The sequence below is a fragment of the Homo sapiens genome, chromosome 1, assembly GCF_000001405.40.
Source record: "Homo sapiens chromosome 1, GRCh38.p14 Primary Assembly".
Lineage (NCBI taxonomy): Eukaryota > Metazoa > Chordata > Mammalia > Primates > Hominidae > Homo > Homo sapiens.
The window spans coordinates 214,051,404-214,077,467 of record NC_000001.11 but is presented as its reverse complement, the minus strand read 5'-3'; the positions used below and the strand labels follow the sequence as shown (position 1 = coordinate 214,077,467).

The 26,064-nt window shown below is 41.8% G+C and overlaps 1 long non-coding RNA gene across 1 annotated transcript in view; it reads left to right on the top strand.

Moving 5' to 3' along the window:
- Positions 1–23,555, top strand: part of LINC02775 (long intergenic non-protein coding RNA 2775) — a 58,251-nt gene extending 34,696 nt beyond the window's left edge. The window contains exons 2-4 of the long non-coding RNA XR_922584.2: positions 5,030–5,225; positions 18,308–18,549; positions 23,464–23,555. This is a non-coding gene — a long non-coding RNA (long intergenic non-protein coding RNA 2775). The remainder of the gene's footprint in view (positions 1–5,029; positions 5,226–18,307; positions 18,550–23,463) is intronic.
- The last annotated feature ends 2,509 nt before the right edge of the window (positions 23,556–26,064 follow it).

Sequence of the window (26,064 nt, the reverse complement as noted above, 5' to 3'; positions counted from 1 at the left end):
AATATCTTCTTGATCATGGTTGTTCATGCGTATTTTATGAGGTCTGGCCATGGGACCTTAGCCTTCTGAACAGACACTGGCCAGGTAGACTATAAATTACAGATAAGCAATGCAACCAGGGACTGTTTAACCACTGCACGGCTTTGGGTTTTGCAGTTGGAAGGGCAAGGGGCTCCTTTCTGGAATGTTCCCATGGGCACCGAGCATTTGAACTCATGCTACTATGATCCAGACATCAGCCCTGGTGCTGCAAAGCGCTGCCCATCAGGAAAGCTGAATTCTGCGCTTGGACTGTCTGCCTTGGTTGCATACAGTTGTTGCTCCCTTTCTCTCTCAGGAACACAGGGCTGGATTTTTGACCTCCATATTGCTCCAAACTGGCATAGTTTCCCAATATTCTCTTTCCCAACTGGCTCGGTGCATGGCCGGATGCTGCCACACTCACTTTCCACTCCCCTGATTCCCATCTTATTATCAGATTTTCTCCCTTTCGCCTTCACGGGAGACTCTGGGGAAGGGATTGTTTTGGCTGGAATTTGACAAGGCACAGGTGGTTTTACCAGCTGCAAGTTCTTTAGTTCTTGTTGGCCGCCCACCAACTCTTGGTCTTTTCACAGTCCTTTCTGTGGTGGTGGTGGAGGAGGAGGGGCAGGAAGGGACAGTAAGTCCTTGATGTTGTTGTTCCACATCAGCAGCTGTCTCAGGTTGGCATTGAGTCCGGAGTGTTCTTCGGGAAAGGTTTTTTTTTTTTGTTTTTTTTTTTTTTTTTTTTTTTTTTCCTCTTGAGATTGGAGAGAGCTGGAGGAAACAGCCAAAACCCGACAGCTCTGCCTGCATCTTGGTCAGTTCGCCTGGGGGTATCAGGGCCGCTGCTCCCCTCTGCACACATGCCTGCCCCAGTTGTACCAGGCTCCCATGCTCACTTCGCCACCACCTTCAGCCTCAGAAATTCAGGCTCACACTCGGCTGCCTCCCTCTTCACTCCCTGGCTGGTTGGAGTCCAATGACACCAGCATCGTCTCCCAAAATAGACGAAAATAATCCTCAGCTCGGTCTCTCAAATGCCTCTTTTTGAGGAAAGAAAAAAGGAACTTAAAACTTGAAAGCGTTTTTCCTTCTTCCTCTTCCTTTCCCAGCATCTTTTTGATAGCAACAATAAAACACTTGAATGTGCTGTTTGACCTCCTGGGCCACCCTGTTCACTGTTCTCTTCTCAGCCTTTTTTTATTTTGAAAACATTAATTTGACCCCTTTCCTTAGTACGGTTTCAAGCCCCTGCTCAGGTTTCCTCAGACTTTCCTTCCTGTGAGGCTTTGCTTGAAAAGCTTGGTTCTGTGCTCTCCTTGATGTGTGTGGGCGCGCGCCTCCCCCATTAATCTGAACCCGCGTGAAAGGGGAAGCTGAAATGGCCCTTTATTGGTTAATTCCTCTCCCCCTTCTTTCCTCGTTCTTTCCTCTGATCCTTCTATTTTCATTTCTCTCTGCCCTCCTCCTCCCTAATCACCTCATCCCTCAGCGCTAGACAAATACTGGAATCTTCACGTTGGTGTGAGCTGATTAGAACCAAAGGCTGCCTAGCAAAACCTCCACCCAGGGTAGGGGGCAAACTCCACTGAGGTCCCTAGGGATTTCCAGGGGTTCTGATATCATCCTTTTCCCCCTTTCCCATTCACAGCTGTACAAAGTGCTGATTCCTTCCTCAATCCCTGATAAAATTACCCAATCGTTTCCTGGGATTTTCACAAGTCCTACCTCACCCCATCGTCAATCATATACTATCATCTGTCACACGATTATTCTATACCTTACCCTGCTCTGACTTGTAAAAGAAAGTTATGGGAGGCATATTTTGGTAGATTTTGTGTGTGCAGAGTCAGGTTCTCCTAGTCCAGAATCTGTTCCTCCAGAGAATATAAGTCCATTAGCTATTTAATAATGCTTTGTTGATATTCCACCTCTTTGTGTTTGCTTTGCACACAGAACATTTCTTTGATACTCAAACAACCTGGAATGAAGGCAAAAAGATATTCAGGTGAAAGTGTCAGGTGTGTGTTTTAGGATGGTGGGGCAAAAGTGAGACAGCAGACAGGGCAGTGGTGGAGAAGGGGATGAGCAGAGGAAAGGTGGGGAGGTTTTCCTGCTTCCCAGATTTTCCTGAGGGAAGACATGGTGATCCTGCTACATTGTTAAGTACAGACTCCCAGAACCTCAGAGACATGCATCGTCAAAGACGGATATAAACACACATTCTGAAGCCCCATATAAATGAGTTTTAAATTACCCACTGCTTTGGATTTTCCAAGCCTCTTTTTTATCTTCTTCAACCAGAACAACCAGGAATGGTTATTATTTGATTTGGCCAGCACCAGCATTTTTTTAAAAGCCTTAGTTTTGTCTTATACGTCATTGCAAAGTATTCATCATACTTAGGGGATGCTGGATACATCTGTCAGTTCAAAGGAGAAAATACGCATCTTTCCTATCTGACTCTTTTTGCTTCAAGGGCCCAGCAATGCTAATCTTTAGCAATATTCTTTTCCCAATAAGAGCGCACATCCAATGTGAATGCTAAATAATGTTGTCACGAGGTTGCATGGGCACTGGTTAAGATCTATGCCCAAACTATAATGCATCTCTCTTCTACATAACTGTTATTGTGGCCAAAATTGGTGAACAGCCCATCCTCAAGGGAGCAGTGGGAGGAGACCAGAATATTGTGTTGGATTCTGTCCTGGACATATCTTCAGCTAGACTCCTGGAGCAGTTTAAATCAAAGGCTGGGCTGAGCAGGCCTGAATGGCTTTCAAATGACAGATTTATGGAGGGAGGCCTAATTAGATCATGGTAATTTGTAGTACGACAATGTCTTTTGCTCAAGATCTCAAAGCAAATTTCTGCCTTGATAGGTGGGCAAAACAAAGACCCACAAATGTCAAAGGAGACTCTCAATGTCACAAAATAAATCCCTGGGCAACTCAGGATATGAGTCACGCCTTGCCTTTGTAAAACACTCTACCGTTTTCCTACACATTCAAATAATTTCATCTCATTTCAGTGTCACAAAATTCTATGGTGTAGGTAGGAAAGAGGCAAGTATTACCTCCATTTTAGAGAAAGGAAAAGCAGAGGCATTGGCTGGTTGGGCAACTTGCCCAAGACCATATAGTCAGTAGCGGGGTTGATTTTTCTACACTTCATGTGGATTGACAAGGGTTCTCAAAAAATGATGTGGAGGACTCTAAGCATGAAGACAAAAGGAAACCTCAAGATACTGAGATTCTGCTTCTAATGACTTTGCAGAAAGGAACATGGCTGAAGAATACAAGCCACAGAGAAGCCAAACTGGGGAATAGTCACAAGTCAAAGGCTTAAAATGGATTGCAAACAAAGTGTTAGGGGTACACAGAAGCCTGGAGTTTGCATATCATGGTACAGCCTTGGCCAAACAATCCTATTATATGTGCGTAGGCATGAAGGGACTGTGGTGGCATGGCAGTCATTTGAGAGATGCCAATGGAGATGGCGGTGCCCTGAAAGGACAGGAACAATAGTGGATGGAATTTCTGAATGCTCTTCCCATGGCCTCTCCTCCGTAGGATCACAGAGAGTTACCTGGCCTTCCTGGTGAGATTTCTGGTCTAGGTGACCATCCATCTATGTAATTCATTGGGAATCCTCTTCCTGTTGGTGCCTGTCATTGTGGTTAGGGTTATGGATTTTGCCATTATACAATTTGCCTTCCATTGAGAGAATTAAAACACGTGCCTGACTAACAATGAGCAAGGTGGAAGGTAATATGTGTAACAAAAAATGGTGTGTCTTGGTCCCTTGTTTGCTGTGCTAGCTTGTGATGGGCATCATCTGGATTGAGGCTTATTCTTTTTGGTTTCCCCAGCAGGACTCTGCACATGACTGAGTCTCATAAATATTTGCTTACATCCAGATCATGGATTTTTTCCCCCTTTTGGTCTCTTGAGATCTCTTACTAAAATAAATCTTAAGAGACAACTGACCTACATCAGTAGTTTGGGTGTTTGCGTATATTCCTTTTTTCTCTCTGTCTCTGTTTCTGTCTGTCTGCCTCTCTGAATATGAATACTCTGTCATTTTGGAGATGGAGCCACTACCTACTACTAAGTGAGCCATTATGATTAAATGCAATGGCAGAGAAGTTTAATTTTCTACTACTTAAGTGTCCCCAGCATGTTAGGGCAAACCTTAACTCATTTATGCCTAGTGTTCCATTATTGGAACTCTAAGCTTATAGGAATTATTTATATCCTACTGCTCAAGGTCATCGCTAAGGTCTGAGTTTTCACACACAAAAATTGTAAATTCTGGCATAAATGGGTTAAACACAGCTATACACATTTTAGCAAATACAATTACCTTCATTCTTAAGGAATAAACAAAAAGAAATAAATGAGTTTCCCGTTTTCAATGAAGTCACATCACAGGGTCTTCAGTCCAGGCTCACTCTGCCTCCTCCTTAGAATTAATGCTGAGTGGGCAGATCATGGATGGGATGGGTGGGAGGCAGCTTTGGGGACCTGCAGAATCTCGAGACAGTCTCCCCCGACTGTTTAAGCACATGGATGATGAAAAAAATCACAAACTGTGGACTTAGCAGATTCTCCCAGAACAGGAGGGGAAGGTGATAGCCTTCTCCCAAGTCAGAGGAGCGATGGGTATTGAATAAATCACAACAAATATGTGATCTGTCCTGCGAATGATATGAAAAATTAAATACGAAGAAAAGTGAAGACAGGGCTTCTCAAATGACAGAGCTGCAGAGAGGGTGAAGGGGGAGGCAGAGGGAGGCAGCAGGGGGGAGGAGGAAGAGTGCTAAATTTGTGAAAAGAAAAACACTGATGCCGTGCGTAGTCTGAAAGATGACATGTTTTCCTAGTCCAGATGGCATTTTTTTAAAGAGTTTTAACTTGCATTTTCTGATTGAACAGCCTTTGCTTGGCTACTGTTATTAATGTTAGAAATCGGGGCTTGGGCTCCGGTTTTCTCACCAATGCAGGTTGACACTGCTGTTCAGGTGAAGGAGAGTTCAGAGTCTCAGAGAGCAGCAGCAGCTTGTGCTTCTGGGAAAATGGAAGGATGACTCCCAGGCAGCCGATCCTGCCACTCCGTAAAATGGAAGAACCTTGGCTCCCCGTGTGAATTCTCTTTGTGATTTGGAAGACAAATACCTCTGCTGAGTTGTCTATGAACAGGTACTGCAGATGGTTGGACCCTGGTTCTTACAGGCTGTGCTGGAAGTGAGGGAAGTGATTTCACTCTCGTTCAGCCCTCCTAAGTGGTTAGGTAAGGGTGGGCTCTTGGAAGATAATGAATGATGTGCAGTATAAGTAACTCTGAGGGACAGTAGGGGTGGTAGGTTACCATGTTAGGTCTCACTGTGAATAGATAATGTATTATATAAAGTTGTATAAAGTCATTGTGCAACTTGGAGATGTATCACCATCCCTTTGGCTGTAAGGCAGTGCTGAATACTTTTTCTTAGGGAATCCCAGGCAATAGGGAATTCCTCAGAATCTCTTCTCATCTTGATATTGGAATCCAAGGGCTACTTTAATAAGATCAAAGGACTTCAAGGGAAGCAAGAAAAAGAGGGTACCCAAATACCTTCCAGAGTGTTTTGCTCCTCTTGAGAATTCTAGATAATGATGCATGACCCACTCCTTTGTTCAGAGATGTCAGCCTGTGAATCAGAGGCTAAAGATCCCTCTTGGTTTTAGTTGTCACTGATGTCTATTTATAGTCATAGCCAAATGTGACCTCATCCTCCAGGTTTTGCAAGCTCAGCAATATGAGGCCAGGTTAGCCTGGCCACAGGTCTCCGAGGAGCACCCCAGATGCTGCAGTGTGTCTTGTCAGCAATGACAAAGTTTTTCTCTTTCTGCTACTCCTCAAATGCCTTTCAGCTCAGCATGTCAGAGAACAAGGTGATTGGAGGAGACATCTATGAGATCAGGAAGAAAATGGAAGCCCATGAATATGTGCAAGAGTTGCTAATTTTTCCGTCTCTCTCTATAGCTCTTCATTCTTCTGTTTTTTTCCCCTTCTTCTTCTCTTTTTTTTTTTTTTTTTGAAGAATGGAATGGAGAAAGTATAGAATAGTGAATCAATGCAGGATGGGATAAATCTCTGATGGAAGAATCCCCTTGAGGCCAGACCACTAGCAGTTTCCAGGGATTCAAGCGGGACCATTATCCTTTCTCATAAGCATTTCAATATTGGGACCTAGTCAGACCACACAGCTGAGAAAGGACAGCTCTTGCCTTGGGAGAAGCCAAGGTATTTTGATGCCCTCCTTTTCTTTCTTCCCTTGAAGTTGTTCGATCTTACTAAAGTACCCCTTGGATTCCAATATCAAGATGAGAAAGGATTCTGAGGAATTCCCTGTTGCCTGGGATTCCCTAAGAAAAAGTATTCAGCACTGTCTTACAGCCAAAGGGGTGGTGATACATCTCCAAGTTGCACAATGATTTAGAGCTCCTCCTAATTTCACAGTCCATTTCTTGGGGCTCCTTTTTCTCTCCAGTCAATATTTACTGTACACCTATGTGCCAGGCTCCCGCAGAAGTCAACTGCTATCCTTTTTCCTGGGGATTTTCATCCTTGGTTTGAGAAAAACTGAGTATATGAAAAAGTTAGAGCTTTATCTTTAAAAAGCAACTCCATTTCTGTGACACAGTCTACCCCGTGGAAGTCAATGAAAAATGTTCTGTCATGAAATCCAAGAGTCTTTATCAAGCCAGTGATGGCTCAAGTGATCCCTTCCTTCCTATTTCATTTCATAAATATTCATTCAGCATGACTGAAATAATGTGTCTTCAAGTCTACAAAATCCTAGGAATCAGTTGATTTAGTCGATTCACTTGAAATATCTGTGTAGCCAATTGTTAAAGAAACTTGCCTCTTTAGTCAAGAGTGGTTGCTGGGTCTGCATGTTGGTAGGATGAGCGTGGGTAACATTATGTGGGGCCTGGTACAGAATGGCTTCCACGGACAGTGTCTCTGTTCACCAATTAACCAATGCAGATCAAAATGCAGGGCACTCAGAGAACCTGAAGAATCATGGGGAAAACCACAGGAATGAGGAGAGTTCCGCAGCACTTGGGGAAAATCCAAAGACCTTATACCTAGGATGAGAGCGTACATTCTGCTCTCAACTTTTACCAGTAAAAACCATACTTAAACCCCATTTGTGTCATAACAAAAATGCGTTCTAAAATGAAACCTACTTTGATTTTTTGAAGTGTGTTTCAACTTGAGCTTTTCTAACATGAGGTTGGTCTGAGATAAAGATGAACAAAATCAAGGAGTAAAAATTTGCAAGAGATACAAATATTCCTCTTTCACCAACATCCCTGTAAACTAAAATCCCAAGCAGCTTCTTTGATTTCATTTTTGGTAATTGCAACAGAAAATTGCATCTGGACTGACAATGTGTATGCCACACTTCAGCCCAACGTGCTTACAAATTGCCAAGTTATAGCAAACCTCCAGCAGAAAAGATGGAGATTTCTCACAGAAATACTGGCAAACCCCTTAAGAGCAATGGCACTTACTGCCACGATGTCCTCGGAAAAAGAAATGAACTGGAAACTGTACATCAGGGTAATCATCAATGTCAACTGAGTCTTGATTTGTCTTCTCACCCCCTCTTCCAATAATTTGGCTTTCAAAATTGCATCTGCTGTTCTCTCTTTAGTAGATACAAAAATTATACAACATCTAGTTGGAATTCTCCTTGTTTCTCTTTACTTCTGCCTCCTAGAAATTTCTTCATTTTAAGATAAATCTGGATATTTATCAGGAGCAGAGGGAAAAATATAGATGAATCTCAATCACATAGGTGGGTAAAATAATCAATTTTTAAAAGCTAGAATATAAATATTTTAGCAAATATTTGATTCCACACCTGTTTCCCTGCCCCACCTAGAACTCTCCTGGTCATCTGCCCCAGGTTGTCAGTGAGTAAGTTTTAAGGAAATTCAACCCTATTTCAATACTTACCTGAGTGGATCATGAACAGTTCTTAACCAAAGAGAACTGACTTTCACATACATCACTGTGTGGGATTAATATATCTCTGAAGTTATGAAGGCTCTAGAGTGAATTGGAGTTAAAAGTGGATGTTAGAACTTTCACTATCGTGCAGCAGTGGCTGCCAGCTTTGGGGTCCAGACATGCTGAGTTTACAGAGTGATTTCAAGGGGTCAGTGACCCCCTCTGTCCATAAGCATCATTTGTGTACAGAATGAATGTCACAGGATGCCAGGGGTTATAACAGGGTGCTTGTCCCCAAAGAGGCTGGAAGTCTTTTCTAGGACAAACAACTTTCTGGGTTTAATCCAGGGCTTTTGTCAAGTTCCCTGGAAGAGTTAAGAATCTGATCCTCTCCCTGACAGAAAACAAACAACACCATGACATATGCACATCCCCAATACTAAATAGCAATAACATGCTTGTGTGTATGTATTTTTGTTTGTCTGATGCCTCGGGTCATGTCTATACATATAAGCCAGCTTAGAAAAAAATATACCAATATCCACTTAGTCTCACACAATAATTTCAAACAATTATTAACCAATTCCTTTGATGGTGTTCAAAATAAGCAGTTGTTTGGCAAAAATCAACTGCTGTTTCATCCTATTTCCTACAAGGTAAACAAGGGCTGAATCTCCCTCTGTTTTTGGTAATACCTGGCCGAAAAGAGGTGTTTACTGAATACAATTCACTTATTTATATACTGCAAATAATTATACCTTAATAATAATAATCATTTTCACTAAAATATAGTATTGTTTTTGTCTTTTTAAACATACAGGACTTCTAGAGAGTATTAAATGGTCACATGATAAAAATTCCCACTAAAACAGGAAAACAATAGAAAGATACACACAGTCTTGTGTTCTTTAATAGATTCAACATTGTGCAAGAAGTCAATGTCCAGTCCTCTAAATAATTATCAGTCAGCCTCATCATGCTAAAGTGGGTTTCTATCAATATTGAGGTTAGCTTTGCTTTGCCTTGGTTGACCCCGAGTGGGAAAGGAGGAATAGCCCGGGCACACCTAATGGCTACTTGCCGTCAGGCAGCATACGAAGGGCAAGTGTATTGAAGCAGCAGAATCAATCACTGGACTCATTAACCTGGCAGCCTCCCACCCTCCCACAGGCTCCCAGCCTCACAACTTCCCACCACCCTCCCTTCTCTGTGCTCCCAACTCACTCAACTCACCTTCAAGGGGCCGTGCACATGCTCACTATACCACACTTCCCTCCTGGCCCACAAGTCCATGCAAATGTGCAGCTGAAACTTACAAGAGACTATTTCCAAAACAAAACCCTCATTGGCCCCAGCACACACACACACACACACACACACGTGCATGCGCACACACACACACACACACACACACACACACAGAGATTCCACCAGTGCCTTGTCATCTGCTCACTTTCCTAGCCCCCTCATCCTTTCTGCCCCCACCACCTCAAGCTCTGGCTCTCGGTCCAAGGATGCCATGCTGCCTGCATTCTGAGACCCTCATGGCCGCTGCCTTCCCTCTCTCCTGCTTGGAAGCGGCCGCTCCCCATCAGGGCTCTGTTTGCCAGCTCTGTACTGTACTTCATTAGGCAGCTCTATTTAATGGTTTCAACAAAAGCCATCATTTTAGCCCAACTGCCTTGACTAAATTAAAATTTCCAATCTCTGTTTTAGTGTTCTGCAACTGACGTATACATAAGCAAAACTGGTCAACATCTGCCAGGGGGTTGGCCAAAAGTTCTGTAAAGACGTACTTCACATTTCTGAAGCATGTGCAAAGTAACAGCGTCCTTATCCTCCCGAGAGCTCTCATGGTTTTACTTCACCATTTGTTCAAACACACTTTCGCTGCATATGAGCATACAGTTGATTCTCCCCTTGGTTGCCGTTTTATCTGTAGTGTCATTTTGAGTAATTGGGGTATGGTAGCTGATCAACTTACAGGTTTCTCATTGGCAGAAAGGGACCGTATTGGCACCAAGAAAGAATATGATGGGTCCTCTCAGTGCATAAGCAAGTGTCCCTCTCTTGCACTTGGCTACCCAAGGCCATTACAAAATAAGCTTAATAAAGCCTCCAAGTGTATATGTCTTCACTCTTCCCAGGCAGAGGGAGGCACCTATAGAAGAAACATTGCAAACCAGTGTGGAAAGATGGTCAATGTACATATTTAGTCAGTGATCCATGAAAGTTTTTGAATTAGTTTTTAAAGCTTTGTTAAGACCAGAACGCACAGATGTTGAAAACAAGTTCAGATGTAGCGACAGATGGTATTTGATTATGAAGCAGACTGTTCATATAATACAAAGATGCTGCTTCTGCCATACACAAGTAACTGCAGAGTGCAGTAGAAATTTTGGAAGGCAGGCAGTTCGAGAGGGTCTTTGTGCAGCAATAACTTTCCCATTTTCCAGCAGTGCTAGAATTGGGATAATTTTCCCCTTTCCTTCTCAATCAGAACCACTCTCTGCTCTTTCAGGCCCCTCCTCTTTTTCCAGTCTCTGTTTCTCCAGCCTTAAAAACTCCTTTCTCCTTTCAGTGAGTTGTCTTACCTAGCCATTGCGTCTTTTACAACAATGTCGAGTTAGAGAAATGCATGGCCTCACTGAGGCAGGCCTGCGCCTAAAGTTAGAGGGAAATGGGAAATGATTGCCAGTGCTTCAATAGCCGAAGGAAACAAATTTCTCGTCAATTACATTTTGCCATGAGAACTCAGTCTTTAAACAGAAGCCAGCATGACGGCTTCAAATGTGCTGCCACAGGTGTGAGGCTGAGTTTCCTGCCGGCAGAGCATAAGCATCATTTAGACTCAGCTGCTTTTTCTGTAAAATGGGAATAAGGGTTGCCCTGCTTATCTCTCCAGGGTGCCAGAAAGATCATATAGGATGCTGCCTTAGTAAGTGTCTTGAGAAATAGGAAGTGTCATCAATATGCTTGGGATTGTCATTGTCAAGATCAGAAACAGGATTCTGAGAGTGGGGGAGTGTGGGTGTCCGACGTTGAAAGGAGAAGTTGCCCTGTACCTTGGGAGTTCTCAATCAGAAATCCACTTCCTTCTTCCACGTAGGTCCTAGAAAAGTGCTGCGGTATCAGAAGTTCTGCTCATTAAACACGGTGAGAGCAGCAGAGCCCCTGGCTGGAGAGCTAGGCTCCTCCGCATGATTGCTTTACTTTTTCACAACAGAGACTTTTGGGGATCAGTCATTTAGAGAGCATGTGCCGCCAGACCCTGGCCAATGGTAGAGTTTCTTGGTGAAGGTACTGGTTGTAGTGCCAAGAAGAGAGACAAGTTTAGAAAACAAGAAGGGGGATTCGACAGCCTCGGTTCTAGCTGCTTTCACAATCCAAGCTTTTAAGTCTAGGTAAGCTACCAGGCCTTGTTTCCTAAAGGTTTTTATGGCCCTGGTGCATTTCTTTCTCAACACATTTGTGTGCCTGTCTGTGTTATGGTGTTGATGTGGGTGGGGGAGGGATGAGGAAGCGGGGAAGAGCCAGCACAGCCTCATTCCTGCGCAAATCACAAGCCCACCGCCCATCCCCTGCAATCCAAGTCTCTTTTTCTGAAGAGCTTCCTATGTGCCAAATAATATTTAACAAACACAGATGAGCAATAGGAGATGAGGGAAAGAACTGGCATGCCAAGATATATTGGAGGAGATTTCGAGGGAATGTTGTCAATGACACAGCTCCAGTGGAGAAGGGGGGTGTGTAGGGAGTAGAGAGGAGTCCAGGATGGAGGTGGATGGAAGGAGCCGAGAGCAGTTTTCAGGAATCCTCCCGTTGTGGGATGCCATCCTGCGATGTTTTACATGCTGTTCCTACACATCCTTTCTTCTCTTTTGTTTACTTCATTGGTCTGCAGGCCAATGAAATCAACCTAGTTTAACTGAAGGTAGTGCTGATATGACACTGAATTACAATAAATGCCTGATGTTTGGCCAATAAGAAAAGGGATTTCTAGTCTCCCTCCAATTTGCAAAGGTATGTTGAAGTTCATTGCATCTTTATTGCAGACAGGACCAGTGACATAATTTTGTGGGGCTCAATTCAAAATAAAAATGTGTGACACCTTGTTCAAAAATTACTAAGAGTTTCAAGAGGACAACAGCAGAGCAGTAAAGTAAATGTGAGACCCTCTCAAGCACAGGGCCCTGTGCGATTGCACCAGCTGCATGCTCATAGCATTGGCCCTGATTGCAAGAGGAGGATGCAAAGCAAACTTCTCTGCCCCGCTCCCTTTCTCTGTAGCACTTGGGAAACTTCCGTGGTTTGAGTATCAATGTATTGAAAGGGAAGACACAAACAGATGACCCAGGATGAAGAAGGAAATAGATGGCACTGACCACAGATCCTGCATAGAAAGTGGGATGGAGTAAAAACAGGCTGGACAAGGATTCAGAAGTCCTGGCTTTACTCTCAAATCCTATCACTAATCTGATTTGTAAACTTACCCATGAGAGCGGGATAATTGGGCCTTCTTGCTCCATGAGTCTTCCACCACTGATGGGAGCCCGGGGATGATGAGGTGGGTGTCAGAGCATGGGGCACAGAGAACTGGCAAGTGGGTGCTCTTGGTTCAGATGATGTACACTGCAGGGTGGGGTAGGTGAGTTGATGAACCAGCCAGTCAGGATTTATGAGGCGGCCCTCATGCTCTATACTGTGGGGGATGTCAGAGTTACTGCAGTGATAATGATGCAGACACTGGTTGTTTGGAACCAGGCTGATGTCTCCCTTCTCTGAGTATTCCCCATGCCCCCGACTCAGGGAGAATATTTAAGTGAAGGTAGGCAAGTCCTTAGAGGCACATGGACCACCCATGAATGTTCACTGGGGCAGGGAAACCAGCCCTGGAAGAGCCTGGGTTAACCTTTCAGAATTACAGAATTACAAATAACAGTGAACTTAATGATGTACAGAAATAATGTCTGTTTGCTGAGGAGTAAGTACTGTTCGATTAGAGAGTTCCATTAAATAGCAAGATGCACAGCTTCAGATGCAGAGAAGAGAGGTGGGAGAGGTGTTTGGCCCTGACTCAGGCTCCATCCTCTTTCTGGCCATTTTTCTGACAGCTGTGTTTGATGGGGACAGATCAGGCCTTCCCCCTATCCCTTTTCATTTCTGTACCCCGACCATCCCCATCCCGACCCTCCCTCTGTCACTTCTGCATGGAGGGCAGGAATCTCTAAGGGAAGCATTACCATCACTGTGGCTGGGACCACTCTTCCCCAGTGAGCCTGATTTCTGTGTCCTGCTTTTGGGGGAAATTGCCCCTATTAAAGTGAGAGTGCCCAGCTAGCCCATGCCCACATCCCTGCCTCACAGAAACTGCAAGATAATGAATTTGCATTACTTTAAACCACCAAATTTGTGGCAATTTGTTACAAAGTCATAGAAAATGCATATATGTGGCAATATTTTATGATCATATAGTAATAGCTACCACTTATTGGGTATCTATTGTGTACCTGGCTTTGTATTAGAGGGTTTATACCTGTTCTCTTAATTGTCACAGCAACCTGGTGATGGAGGTATTTTGAAGCTTGTTTTAGGGAAGATGAAACTGTGAGTCAAGTCACTTGTTTAAGAGCTAAGAGATTGGGTGGAGGATTTAAACCCAGCTCTGTCTTATGCTAGATCTCATGTCAACTAAGCATAAGGACAATTACTTTTATTGTGATTTCTTCCCTTCTTTCCCAGCCTTCATTCAATCTATTGCATTACTGGTTTGGTAACATATCAAGACTCTGCTCTGCACTTGAATTTGCTTGTTTCCATTGTCATTTCTGCAAAGTGTTGGTAAACCTAGCTCATATCCTGTCCAAGTCGCTGAGCACCAAACCTTCCTTCACAGACTCATAGCATCCCTTTCCCTCAAATAGGATTGCCCTGATCTGGCATCTTTTCTCCCTCCTGGGATGGGGTTCCTGGGGGTGTAACCCTTTAGGCTCCAGTGACTTCTTACAAGGGCAACACCACCCAAACAGACACTGCCATTGACATCGTAGTATGCATTTGTTTTCTATAGTTTTGTAGCAAATTATCACAAATTTAGTGGCTTAAAGCATCAGAAATTTATTATCTCAGCATTTCCAAGGGGCAGGAGTCTTGGTATCAGTGAGTTGGGTCCTTGGCTCAGGGTCTCACCAGGCCGAAGTCAAGGTGTCAGCCACGACCGTGATTCGAGGTAAGTCATGGGATTCTCTTCCTAGTTCTCCAGTTGTTGGCAAGATTCAGTTATTGTGGTTGTAGGACTAAAGTCCCTGTTTTCTTCCTGGCTGGTGAGTAGGGACCACTTTTAGTACTTAGAGGCTGCCGTCAAGTCCTTGCCACGGCCTCCTTCATAGACAATTCGCACATGGTTGTTTGCTTTCTCAAGGCCAGCAGGAGATTCTCTTTTAAGAGGTTAGCTAATTAGACCAGGCACACTCAGGTAATCTCCCTGTTGATGAACTCAAAGTCAATTGCTTAGGAACCTTAATTATACCTGCAAAATATTTTCACCTTTGCCATGTAATGTAACCTAGTCATGGAAGTTACCTCTCATCACCTTCAGAGGTTCTGCCCATGTTCCAAGTATGAGGACTATACAAGACATGCACACCAGCTAATGGGTACCTTGAGAGCTGTCCAAATACTGCCTGCCATGCAGAATTGAAGAGAGTGTAGCTATCTCTGAAGACAAGAGGTCTCTGAGACATTAGCACGTAGCTGCTGTAATTCTAAAAGATGATTGAGGGAAATTCCACGTAGATGACAGCAGTTGCATATCATGGTCTTCCAACGTAGACTGTAATGCTGATGGCTTGGAGTCCCCTCATCTGGAGATGTTTAGAATTGCCTTCCAGTTTGCCCCTTCCTACAGTTAGTAACACATTTTCCTCCCATGCACTTTGTTTCTCTTACACTAGGGGAAAATTATGTCTTTTTTCCAGGAAAAAAATTTATTATCAGTGCTTGCAATGTTCCTTCTTCCTCTTGGTTTCTAACAGGGAATGATTATTGCTTGTAGGGACAGCTGTCAGGTTCTCCTTTGTTGTGGAAAACCTAGGTGATGGGCATATGATAGAGAATATGAAAGAAATCTGAAAGCTTCATAGACCAGGTAATGTAGTAGTTGAGAGCACAAACTCTGGAGCCAGACAGACTAGGGTCAAATTCTAGGGTGGGAGTTTCTACTTCAGATGGGATTGTCAAGGAATGTCTCCAAAATAAGGTGACATTTAATCAGAGACCAGAAGGAAGTAGGCAACGGAACCGTGTGGCTATCTGAGGGTTGAACATCCCAGATAACAGGAATAGCAAGTTCAAAGGGTCTGAGGCTGGGATGTTCTCCGTGTGTTTCAGCAACAGTAAGGAGGCCTGGATGACTGAAACAGCAGGATGAAGAGAATGATTGGGAGATGGAGTCAGAGAGATCATGGGGTCCACTTATATAGAGCCTTGAGGCCATGGGAAAGACTTTGACTTTTACTCTGAGTGAGACTAGCTTTTGAAATAAAGGTTTTGAAATGACATGATCTCACATTTTAAAGGGATCACTGTAGCTGCTGTGTTGAGAATATGTTGTAGAATGGGGCAAAGGCAGAAGCCGAGAGATCAGGTGAGAATAATATGGCTTAGAGCAGCATTGTATAGTGAGGTGGGAAGTGCTGGTGTCTTGATACAGTTCTGAATGTTAGAGCTTACAAGGTTTGTTGATGAGTCAGATATGACATGTGAGAGAAAAATAAAATCAAAGACCTGTCCAAAGGTTTTGGTCTCAGCAATTAGAAGGATAGAGTTGAATTTACCCAGCCAGGGAAGACTGTGGAGAGAATAGGCTTGGCTATGTAGAGAAATTAGGAGTCCATTTTGGGTATGTTAAACTCGAAATGTTTAGTAGACATCCACGTGGAAATGTTGAATAGACAGTTGGATATAAGAGTCTGGGGCCAGGTGCGGTGGCTCACACCTGTAATCCCAGCACTTTGGGAGGCTGAGGTGGGCGGATCATGAGGTCAGGAGATCGAGACCATCCTGGCTAACACGGTGAAACTGGTCTCTACTAAAAAAATACAAAAAAAAAAAATTAGCCGGGCTTGGTTGGGGGCACCTGTAGTCCCAGCCACGCGGGAGTCTGAGGCAGGAGAATGGTGTGAACCTGGGAGGCAGAGCTTGCAGTGAGCTGAGATCGCGCCACTGCACTCCAGCCTGGGTGACAGAGCGAGACTCCATCTCAAAAAAAAAAAAAAAAAAAAAAAAAAAAATATATATATATATATATATATAATATATATAGTCCAGCAGGAGCTCCACATTTGGGAGTTGTCAGTGCATAGATAATATTTCAATCCTTGAGACTGGTTAGGATCACTTAGGCGTGGTACATAACAGAGAGAAGTTTCATAGTCATTATTCTAGGGTGTTCCTAGTCCTGGTTTCCTTTGTAACTTCAAATATCACTAAATAAATCTCTAGTTGTAGTTTTATCATCTTTAGACTGTTTCTTCTGACTTTCAAGGTGAATGTATTCGTAGCTCCACTTTCTCTCTACCTCTTAACTTTGGTCAGTCATACCTTTGCTTTTTCATTGTCAGGGTTGATAACATTTACATTATTCTCTAACCATTCTTTTAGTCCTCTCCGTTAGGTCCATATGTTGCTTCTCAATGGTAAACAAACAAACAAACACACAAAAAAACCAGCAAACAGCATTTGTATTATTACAATTTATAAATTTTGGGCCCTCCTAAGCCAGGCAGTGCCAGAACTATATTTTCTTCTTTACTGGTTCATAGTCATTCATTAAATAAATAGTTATCGATTCCCTGATATATCTCAGGCACCGTTTTAGGTGTTAGCATTACACAGAGCAAATTGCCTGTCCTCATATCATTTACTTTCTTGCATGGACTCCACATCACTTGAGGGAGAATATTTCTAGAGTTAATATTAAAATGATTCTTTTTAAAACGTCTTTCTAATCTCTTTTACCATTGTGTTTGTCTGATATTAGTATCACTGTATCAGCTTTCTTTTGGTGTTTGCATGGTATAGTTTCCTGAAATGGATTATCTTCTCTTATAAATGATTGATTGCTTGAACTCATGCAACATTTTATATTTCTTTAATTTCACTTTCTTGTTTTTGCCTTCTGTTTTAAAAATTCTCCTAGAGTTTCTATTTGTTTTCCTTATTATGAAAAGGAGCACTTTGTTTTGTTTTCATTTCACAAATAGTTTCCAGCTTCTTGCTTATTCTGCAGCATTAAAAAATTTTTCTGAAGACATTTTTCTTGGAACCATTGGGTTCCTGTTCTAATTTGAACTATTAATAATTTCATCTCAGCCAGCTGCACAGCTGTCCACCTGTCCTTTTTATAACTTTTTAGTTTGTTTTACTCTTTCTTTATTCCACATCCTCCTCTTTCTTGGTTTTTACCTTCATCCTGTTGGAATACATCTCAAGTGAGTTTTTCAAAAAGAGTATATGGAAAATAATCTTTTGAATCGGTAAAAATTGAAGTCATTACTCTCATACTTGATTGATAGTTATATTGATATTATATTCTGGGTTCACATATTCAAAATCTGAATAGTGTTTTAAGGAGTAATAAAAAGTTCAAGCATCAATGAGAAAAACAATCAGGCAGAGGGAATCTATGCAAATGTATTGAGGCATGAAATGATAGTGTATGTCTTGGGAATCACAAGCAATTTAATATCTTAGGGACATGAAGAACAATAATTAGAGGAAAGCAAGAAAGTGGTAGAAAATAAAGCTGAAGAAAATGGTAGGGGTCATATCTTAAGGAGTCTTGTCTGCTATGTTAAGGGGATCAAATGTAATACTCAAGTGAAAAGGAACCCCAGAGTAGTCTTAATTGGGGAAATACCATGGTCACAGATGTGATATCAAAAGATGGATTGATTACAGCAGTAGTGTGGAGGATGGCCATGAGACAAAACAAAAAGGGACCAGCACAAGATAAGTAACTTACTATGGCAGGAGTAGAGAATGGCAGTGAAGTTACTAGAGACAGATTAGAAGGGATATTAAGAGCTATGGTAAGGAGTTTGGGCTTTATTCTGGAACAATGGTAAAAGTAAAACACACTAGATTTTGAAAAGAGGGAGAGATTAATGCTTTAGAAAAATCACTTCTGGTTACAATGGAGGCAAATGAATGGATGTGGTGTGGAAAGGCTAGAGGTAGGAAAGCCAATCACAATATTGTAAATTTGTTGCCATTGTAGATGCTAAGATAAGAGTCGATGGTGCCGTGAACCAAGGTACTGACATAGCAGCTGGAGAGAAGTGAATGGATTTCAATGATGTAAGGGAGATGAACTGACAACAAAATAATTGTTGATAAGATCTGGAGATTGAGAGAAGAATGACAGAATGACTGTAGGATCTTGATTTGCGCCAAGTGAATGGATGCTGCTCACTTAGAAGAAGATTTTTGTTTTGGAAAAATTCTTTTTAGATGAAGCAGGTTAGTCACTTGTACATCTCTTTCCTTTTCTCTTCAAATGTAAGCCAACTTTGTCTGGTAAAGCAAAGAAAATAATTTTCTGTTTTTCCTCCTTCAATCAATACCCCCAATCACTCCATCCTGTCTTGGAAACATCCTCTTTTTCGATCCCTGGCTACAAAGCAAGCCTTCTTTCAGGTCCTCAAATCCTCTCCATTTCCTCCAAACACAGGGCCTTTGCACTTGCTGTCCCCTGGACCTAGTACCATTTTCCTTCCTCTTTGATCACATGACACCACTCAACCTTTAGAGTTCAGTGCCAAGTCAGTTTTTCAGGGGAGTCAGCTTACTCCTCCCTCAGCTCCAGGAACTTCTGCTTCACTCCCCAAGTTCCTTTTCTTCATACTACTCAGCTCCTTTGCCAATGAAACACCTTTTAGTCGATGCAGTTCCTTTGTGTTTGTGAACAACTATCTCCTCCACTAGAGTATTGCCTCCATGAGGGTAAGAACTATATTTATTGTATGTCACTGTTGCTGTGAAGGCTAGAACAAATGTTTTTTGAAGGAATGAATGAGAAGACTGTCTCGCAGCTTCGCTGTAACTGTGACTACAGAGGCCCTTTGCCCCCGGAGTGAAATGACTCTTCTCAGACAACTCTCAGCAGCTGTCTGAGAAGTGGTGTGGCTGATTCCCAGACAGCAATTTATCACAGGCCATGCTGGGGCCACTGCACACAGTTCAAGCAAAACTGTAACTTCAAGGTTCCTAAAACACACTGCTTCAAGTTCTGAGTTGGAGAAGCCACACCCGCTGCCAAGTCCCTCGGGGGCAACAACAAGTAGGGAGTGGCAAATTTACCTGGGAGGAAAAGGGGGCACATGCAACCAAGATGCTCCACTTCTGGAAGGTTTGCCACCTTGTAGACCATGAGCTCCTTGACTGCAGACTTCATCCTGTCCCTGGTATCCCCCTGGGCCCAGCTGAGTTCTGGGCACATAAGATGAGCTCATTAAATGTGTTAAACAAGCAAATACATTAAGATGGTGCTACTGATCTACTATCTATCTATCTGTCTATCATCTATATCTATCTATCTATCTATCTATCTATCTATCTATCATCTATCTCTATCTATCTATCTATATCTATCTATCTATCTATCTATCTATCTATCTATCTATCTATCTATCATCTATCTCTGGTACAAATTGGTCCAGAACCTCCAGAAGCAAACAAGAGGACATTTTCTTTTATAACATGCTGCAGCCCCCTATCAACCATTGCTGACTAGACATCTAGTCTCAGTTATTTAAGGGGACTCTCTTTCTCCCTTGAGGTTGATCTAGAACCCCAGGGTTTATGGGACCCAGGAAGATTGAGGATGGACCTTGGGTCTCTAGTTAATTGTGTTTCTTGTCCGCTTGCTTCCTGCCTATAACACTAAAGGCTAGTAATGGAAGGTGACTCTATTAGGACACCTCTGCTATCCTGATGATTTGATGGCAGACCTCTTTTCCTCTGCCTTCAATGAACATACTTATCAATCTGCTTCACAGTCACCCATGCAGCAGTTCTCCCACCCTCTTGCTTCAGGGAAGCAGTTTTCTTCCTACTCCTAACCCAAACCCTGAATTCCCATCTCCTCCTAGGCACAAGGACCTGGGGCTGGTCTACATCCCTCCCTTCCTCTTTAGACACAAAAGCCTCCATCCGTTCCTTCTCAGGGACAGTGCTATTAACCCACAGATCTGATGATTAAAGGTTTGTAAAGTCCCCTGGAATAAATGGGCCAAATTCAAGAATGCAAAGACCAGGCTGTCCTTAAAGGGAAAGGAAGAAAATTTTCCTCCTCCCCCTTCTTCATTTCTTCTTAAGACTAGTACACAAGAAAGGCATCAGGTAAATTCTCAATTACTCAGTCTGTTAGATATATAAATAAGTATATTTTATGGGATCATGTGATTTACTGTATTTCATGAAATCTAAGATGCAATTGTAAGACACATCATCATTTTATGTTCTTCTAAGAAGAAAAAGATGCTACTATGATAAGTATTAAACACTGTTGATTGCATGATGCATCACAATTTCAAAAGTGATGGTATTTTAAAAAATGATCTTTAGGGCTGGGCTCGGTGGCTCATGCCTGTAATCCCAGCACTTTGAGAGGCCGAGGTGGGAGGATCACGAGGTCAGGAGTTTGAGACCAGCCTGACCAACATGGTGAAACCCTGTCTCTACTAAAAATACAAAAATTAGCCGGGCATGGTGGTATGCACCTGTAATCCCAGCTACTCAGGAGGCTGAGGCAGGAGAATCGCTTGAACCTGGGGGTAGAGGCTGCAGTGAGCCGAGATTGTGCCACTGCACTCCAGCCTGGGCAACAGAGCGAGACTCTGTCACAAAAAAAAAAAAAAAAATTGGAATCAACAAAATGTAATACTGCATTATTCAGCTCCTAGCCTTTTTTAGTTAATAATTTGCCTTGGATGTCTTTTTGTGTTGATTTATAAGGATCTACTTATTGTATAAATCATTTTATGGTATTAATCATTTATCTACTGGTAGATCTTATTTTTGCATTTGAAAACAATGTTTTAATGAAGACATATATTTTTGTGCATTTTGTAAGCATTTGTCAAAATGTAATATGATCTCGTAATTCTACCAGAATTACAGTCAATTTGTCCCATTAAAAAAGCCTACCTACTTATAATCTTGTGATAGTGTGTGAGGCTGTTGTTTTCTTCATGCCCTTGTCAAAACTGGATAATATCAGTATCAATATTTTCTATTTTTCAAATCTAATTGGCAAAAAAGGTATTATGTTATATTTTGCACTTGTCTGATTGTCAATAAAGTTAAGCGTATTTTCTTTTCTTCTTTCTTCTTTTTTTTTTTTTTTTGAGATGGAGTCTCGCTCTGTTGCTCAGGCTGGAGTGCAGTGGTGCAATCTTGGCTCACTGCAACCTCTGCCTCCCGGGTCCCAGCAATTCTCCTGCCTCAGCCTTCTGAGTAGCTGGGACTACAGGCATGCACCACCACGCCTGGCTAATTTTTGTATTTTTGGTAGAGACGGTACTTCACTATGTTGGCCAGGCTGGTCTCGAACTCCTGACCTTAAGTGATCTGTCCACCTTGGCCTACCAGAGTGCTGGGATTACAGATGTGAGCCACTGTGCCTGGCCCATATTTTCAAATGTTCATTGGCCATTTTTATTTCTTCCCTATTGACTATTTATGCCCATTGCCCATTTTACCACTGAATGGTATTTTTTTTTTTTTTTAAACAGGAGTCTCGCTCTGTCACCCAGGCTGGAGTGTAGTGGCACGATCTGGGCTCACTGAAAGCTCCGCCTCCCAGGTTCACGCATTCTCCTGCCTCAGCCTCCCGAGTAGCTGGGACTACAGGCACCTGCCACCACGCCTGGATAATTTTTTTTTTTTTTTTTTTGTATTTTTAGTAGAGACGGAGTTTCACCATGTTAGCCAGGATGGTCTTGATCTCCTGACCTCGTGATCCACCTGCCTTGGCCTCCCAAAGTGCTGGGATTACAGGCGTGAGCCACCGCCCCCAGCTGGTATAGTTTTTAAATTGACATATAAGTACACTTATAATACATAATACTTATAATGTACAATACATTACTTATACACTTATAAGTAATGTATTAAGACTTGATAGTCTATATATACTTAATATATATTTTATCTCTGCTTATTTTCTCTAACTTTTCTCATGCTTTTTGTTGTTATTGTTGCTGAGATGTAACTTTTATGTAGCCATATCTTTTATTTTACTTCTTTATGGCCTCTGGGTTTTATTTTGCTTAAAATGTCTTCTAAACTGCAAGATAATAAAATTAGTTTTCCAGAAGGTTCATGTATGTGTTATATGTGTGTGTGCTTGTGTGTTTGAATATACGTTTTCAACCTTTTGTCTGTCAATAATTCATTTTTGCATGTCATGAGATGCGAATCTAACTTTATTTCTTTGATATCATTAGCAAATTATTCCTATGGTATTTGTTGAATGGTTTATTTTTCCCTCCTGAATGGAAAATAATCTTTATAATAGACTAAATTTCTATGTTTGCTTGTATTGTTTCTAGATTTTTTATCTTTTTAGAGATAATGCCTTTCTCTGTCACCCAGGCCAAAGTGCAGTGGCATGATCATGGCTCACTTCAATCTCAAACTCCTGGACTTAAGTGATCCTCCTGCTTTAGCCTCCCAGGTAGCTGGGACTACAGGCATGCATGTGCACCACCATACCTGGCTATTTATTTATTTATGGAGATGGAGCCTCCTTGCTATGTTTCCCAGGCTGGTCTTGAACTCCTGGCCATAAACAACCCTTCCACCTCGGCCTCCCAAAAGGCTGCGATTACAGGTGTGAGCCACTGTGCCCAACCTGTTTCTGTGCCCAACCTGTTTCTGGATTTTCTAATCTGCTTCCTTGAACTGTTTTTGTCAATTCTTGAATTAATAATACATATTTAATTACTGTGATTATACATTTTGTTTTTATATCTATTGGGGCAAATCATAGAAACAATAGATAAAAATATACATTAATTCTCCAAATATTTATTGAGTGTCTTCTATGTGTCAGGTTCTGTTGTAAGTAATTGAGCATCTCTGACAACTTTATTGAACTTTAATATAATTTTAATACTTTTTAAATTGATTTTCTTTTTTACCAGTGTTTTCTTGGGTTTTGTTTAAAGCATTTTCTCTTTTCTTGAACATTAGAATAGTTGTGCTAAGATCTGTGAACAGTCCTCTAAAATTTGACTGTGATTACTTTAATTTATAAATTCATTGCATTAATTTGCAGGGTAAAGTTATTGAGTAAATTAGGAAAAATAAGCATATTTATCATTTTGCATGTTTCCATTAAAAAAGTTACCTTATCTCGATATATCCTAGTTTCCTTGTTTTGAAAAATGGACGATAGCCCAGGTGCAGTGGCTCACACCTGTAATCTCAGCACTTTGGAAGACTGAGGAGGGCGGATGACCTGAGGTTGGGAATTCGAGACCAGCCTGACCAACATGGAGAAACCTTGTCTCTACTAAAGATACAAAATTGGTTGGCATGGTGGCGCATGCCTGTAATCCCAGCTACTTGGGAGGCTGAGGCAGAAGAATCGCTTGAACCCAGGAGGTAGAGGTTGTGGTGAGCCAAGATGGTGCCATAGCACTCCAGCCTGGGCAACAAGAGCAAAACTCCGTCTCAAAAAAAAAAAAAAAAAAAAAAAAAAGGAAGAAAGGAAGGAAGGAAGGAAGGAAAAAAAGATGATGATAGTAGTGTTAACTGCCTCATGAAATTTCCGAGAAAATTAAAGAAATCACCTATGTAAAAATCTGAGAGAATTCTTGGCACATTAAAAGAACATAATAAATGTTAGTTACTATTATTATTAAAATTATTGTCTGTCTCTATTTTTTAGGTCTTCTTTATGGCTTTACAGTTTTATAGCTTTATTCCTAATGTTTTTTAGGGTTGGTTACTATATTATTTCCATTATATGTTCTAGTTGTTTATTTATAGCTTTGTTCCTAATATTTTATAGGTTTAGTTACTATTTTATTTCCATTGGATATTCTAGTTCTTTATTGCTAACACATAGAAAAAGTAGATTGAAATACACATTAATTCTCCAAATATTTATTAAGTATCCTCCAGGGCCTGGCGCGGTGGCTCACACCTGTAATCCCAGCACTTTGGGAGGCCAAGGCAGGCAGATCACGAGCTCAGGAGTTCGAGACCAGCCTGGCCAACATGGTGAAACCCTGTCTCTACTAAAAATACAAAAAGTTAGCCAGGCATGGTGGCGTGTGCCACCATGTAATCCCAGCTACTGGTGAGGCTGAGGCAAGAGAATCACTGGAACCTGGGAGGCGGAGGTTGCAGTGAGTCGAGATCATGCCATTGCACTCCAGCCTGGGCGACAGAGCAAGACTCCGTCTCGAGAAAACAAAACAAAACAAATAATATCCTTCAGGGTTTTTTTTCCCATTTCTTCCTCCAGTCTAGCTCTGGTGATATTGGGAAGTACCAAGGTGAAGAAACAAAGGCTAGAATCAGAAATATGTTATTTCCTCTCAAGGTTGATATGTTTGATCGCCAAAGTCAAATATAAATACAGTACATTTTCAGTGCTGTATTGTTCATACTAAACTTCTGTATGGCCAGTTTGGATACACTGAAGAATTGACTGCATTGAATATGGAAATAATTATTGCTATTAGAATCTTTGAATACTGGCTTATACTAAATGTGTATATTACTGCGTTTGACCATCTACTTTGTAAATAGCCATATTATCTAAATGTTAAAAAGGAAGTTTGTTTTGAGACAATTTGGAGAGTTCAGGATACCCAAAAGGAGGATATAGCGTGGTGGATTCCAACCATTGCTAAGAGAGGAAATCGCTAAATGTTGCATAAACTACTAGAAATTTTAGATGTGATACCTTGAACAAGAGATATTAATGGGTAGAACTCTAGGTGGGAGATAGCAGCTGAAGCTGCTATGAGGCTAAAAGAATATCACCTCTCCTTTGAACAAATTATCCGGGGACTCATCAGTTCATTGGGTAACTAAGTCCTTTTATTAATACTCAAAAGAATATTGTGATAATCTCTAGGATTTTTAGATTAAAATTCTCCCCAAAGGTCTCCACATGGAGATTTTCTTTTAGGGGTGAAGCTGTGTCCAGGTCTAGGAAGCAGTCACACAACTATACATTTATTTATATATTTCCATTCTTTCAAATGTCAGCAGAGCGCCTATAATTTATGCTTAGACAAGTTTAAAGTGAATATTGGTGTTCTGAACATTGTTGAACCTTTCCTTTTCTCTATTCATTGTAACTAGGATGGTATCCCCTCAAGCATTACTGGCCTTGTTCCACTATGTCAAATGTATGCAGCAGAGAAAGGGGATACACCAGCAGCTGGAGTGGCTGAGCGGAAGGAAGGACACTAGAACATATTAATCCCATTTTAAGCAACAGGCACTGTGTTAAGTGATTTCAGATACAATACCACATTTAATCCTCATAACAAGCTTGCAAGGAGAACATTGTCACGACTGTATTCATACATGAAGAAACTGAGGCTCGGAGACATTAAGATTTGAGCCAGGATCTGTGTTCTTCCAAAGCCCATGGGTCAGAAATGCCAGCTGATTCTGGTTCCAGCTAGAACTACCAGACATCTTAGGCCAGGTCTCAGGAATCCTTGAGGCAAAAATCTGCATAACATTGAGGCCAAAGATGAGCCTAATGGAGTTGGACCTACCCATTTAGTGGTAGACTTCTTTATTGGCAAAATATTCTGTCAAGATCTCCCCTGATGGACAAGTCAAAATTCTTTCCAACATAACAAAGACCTATTGTCATCATGGGAATGCTGCGATCTTGCTCTTTCAGCTCAAAAATCTACTTTCTGGAACCAGGTCATGGACTTGCAGGACTTTCCATCTACAATTTTGTTTAGGGAATTGAGATCAGATGAACAGGGC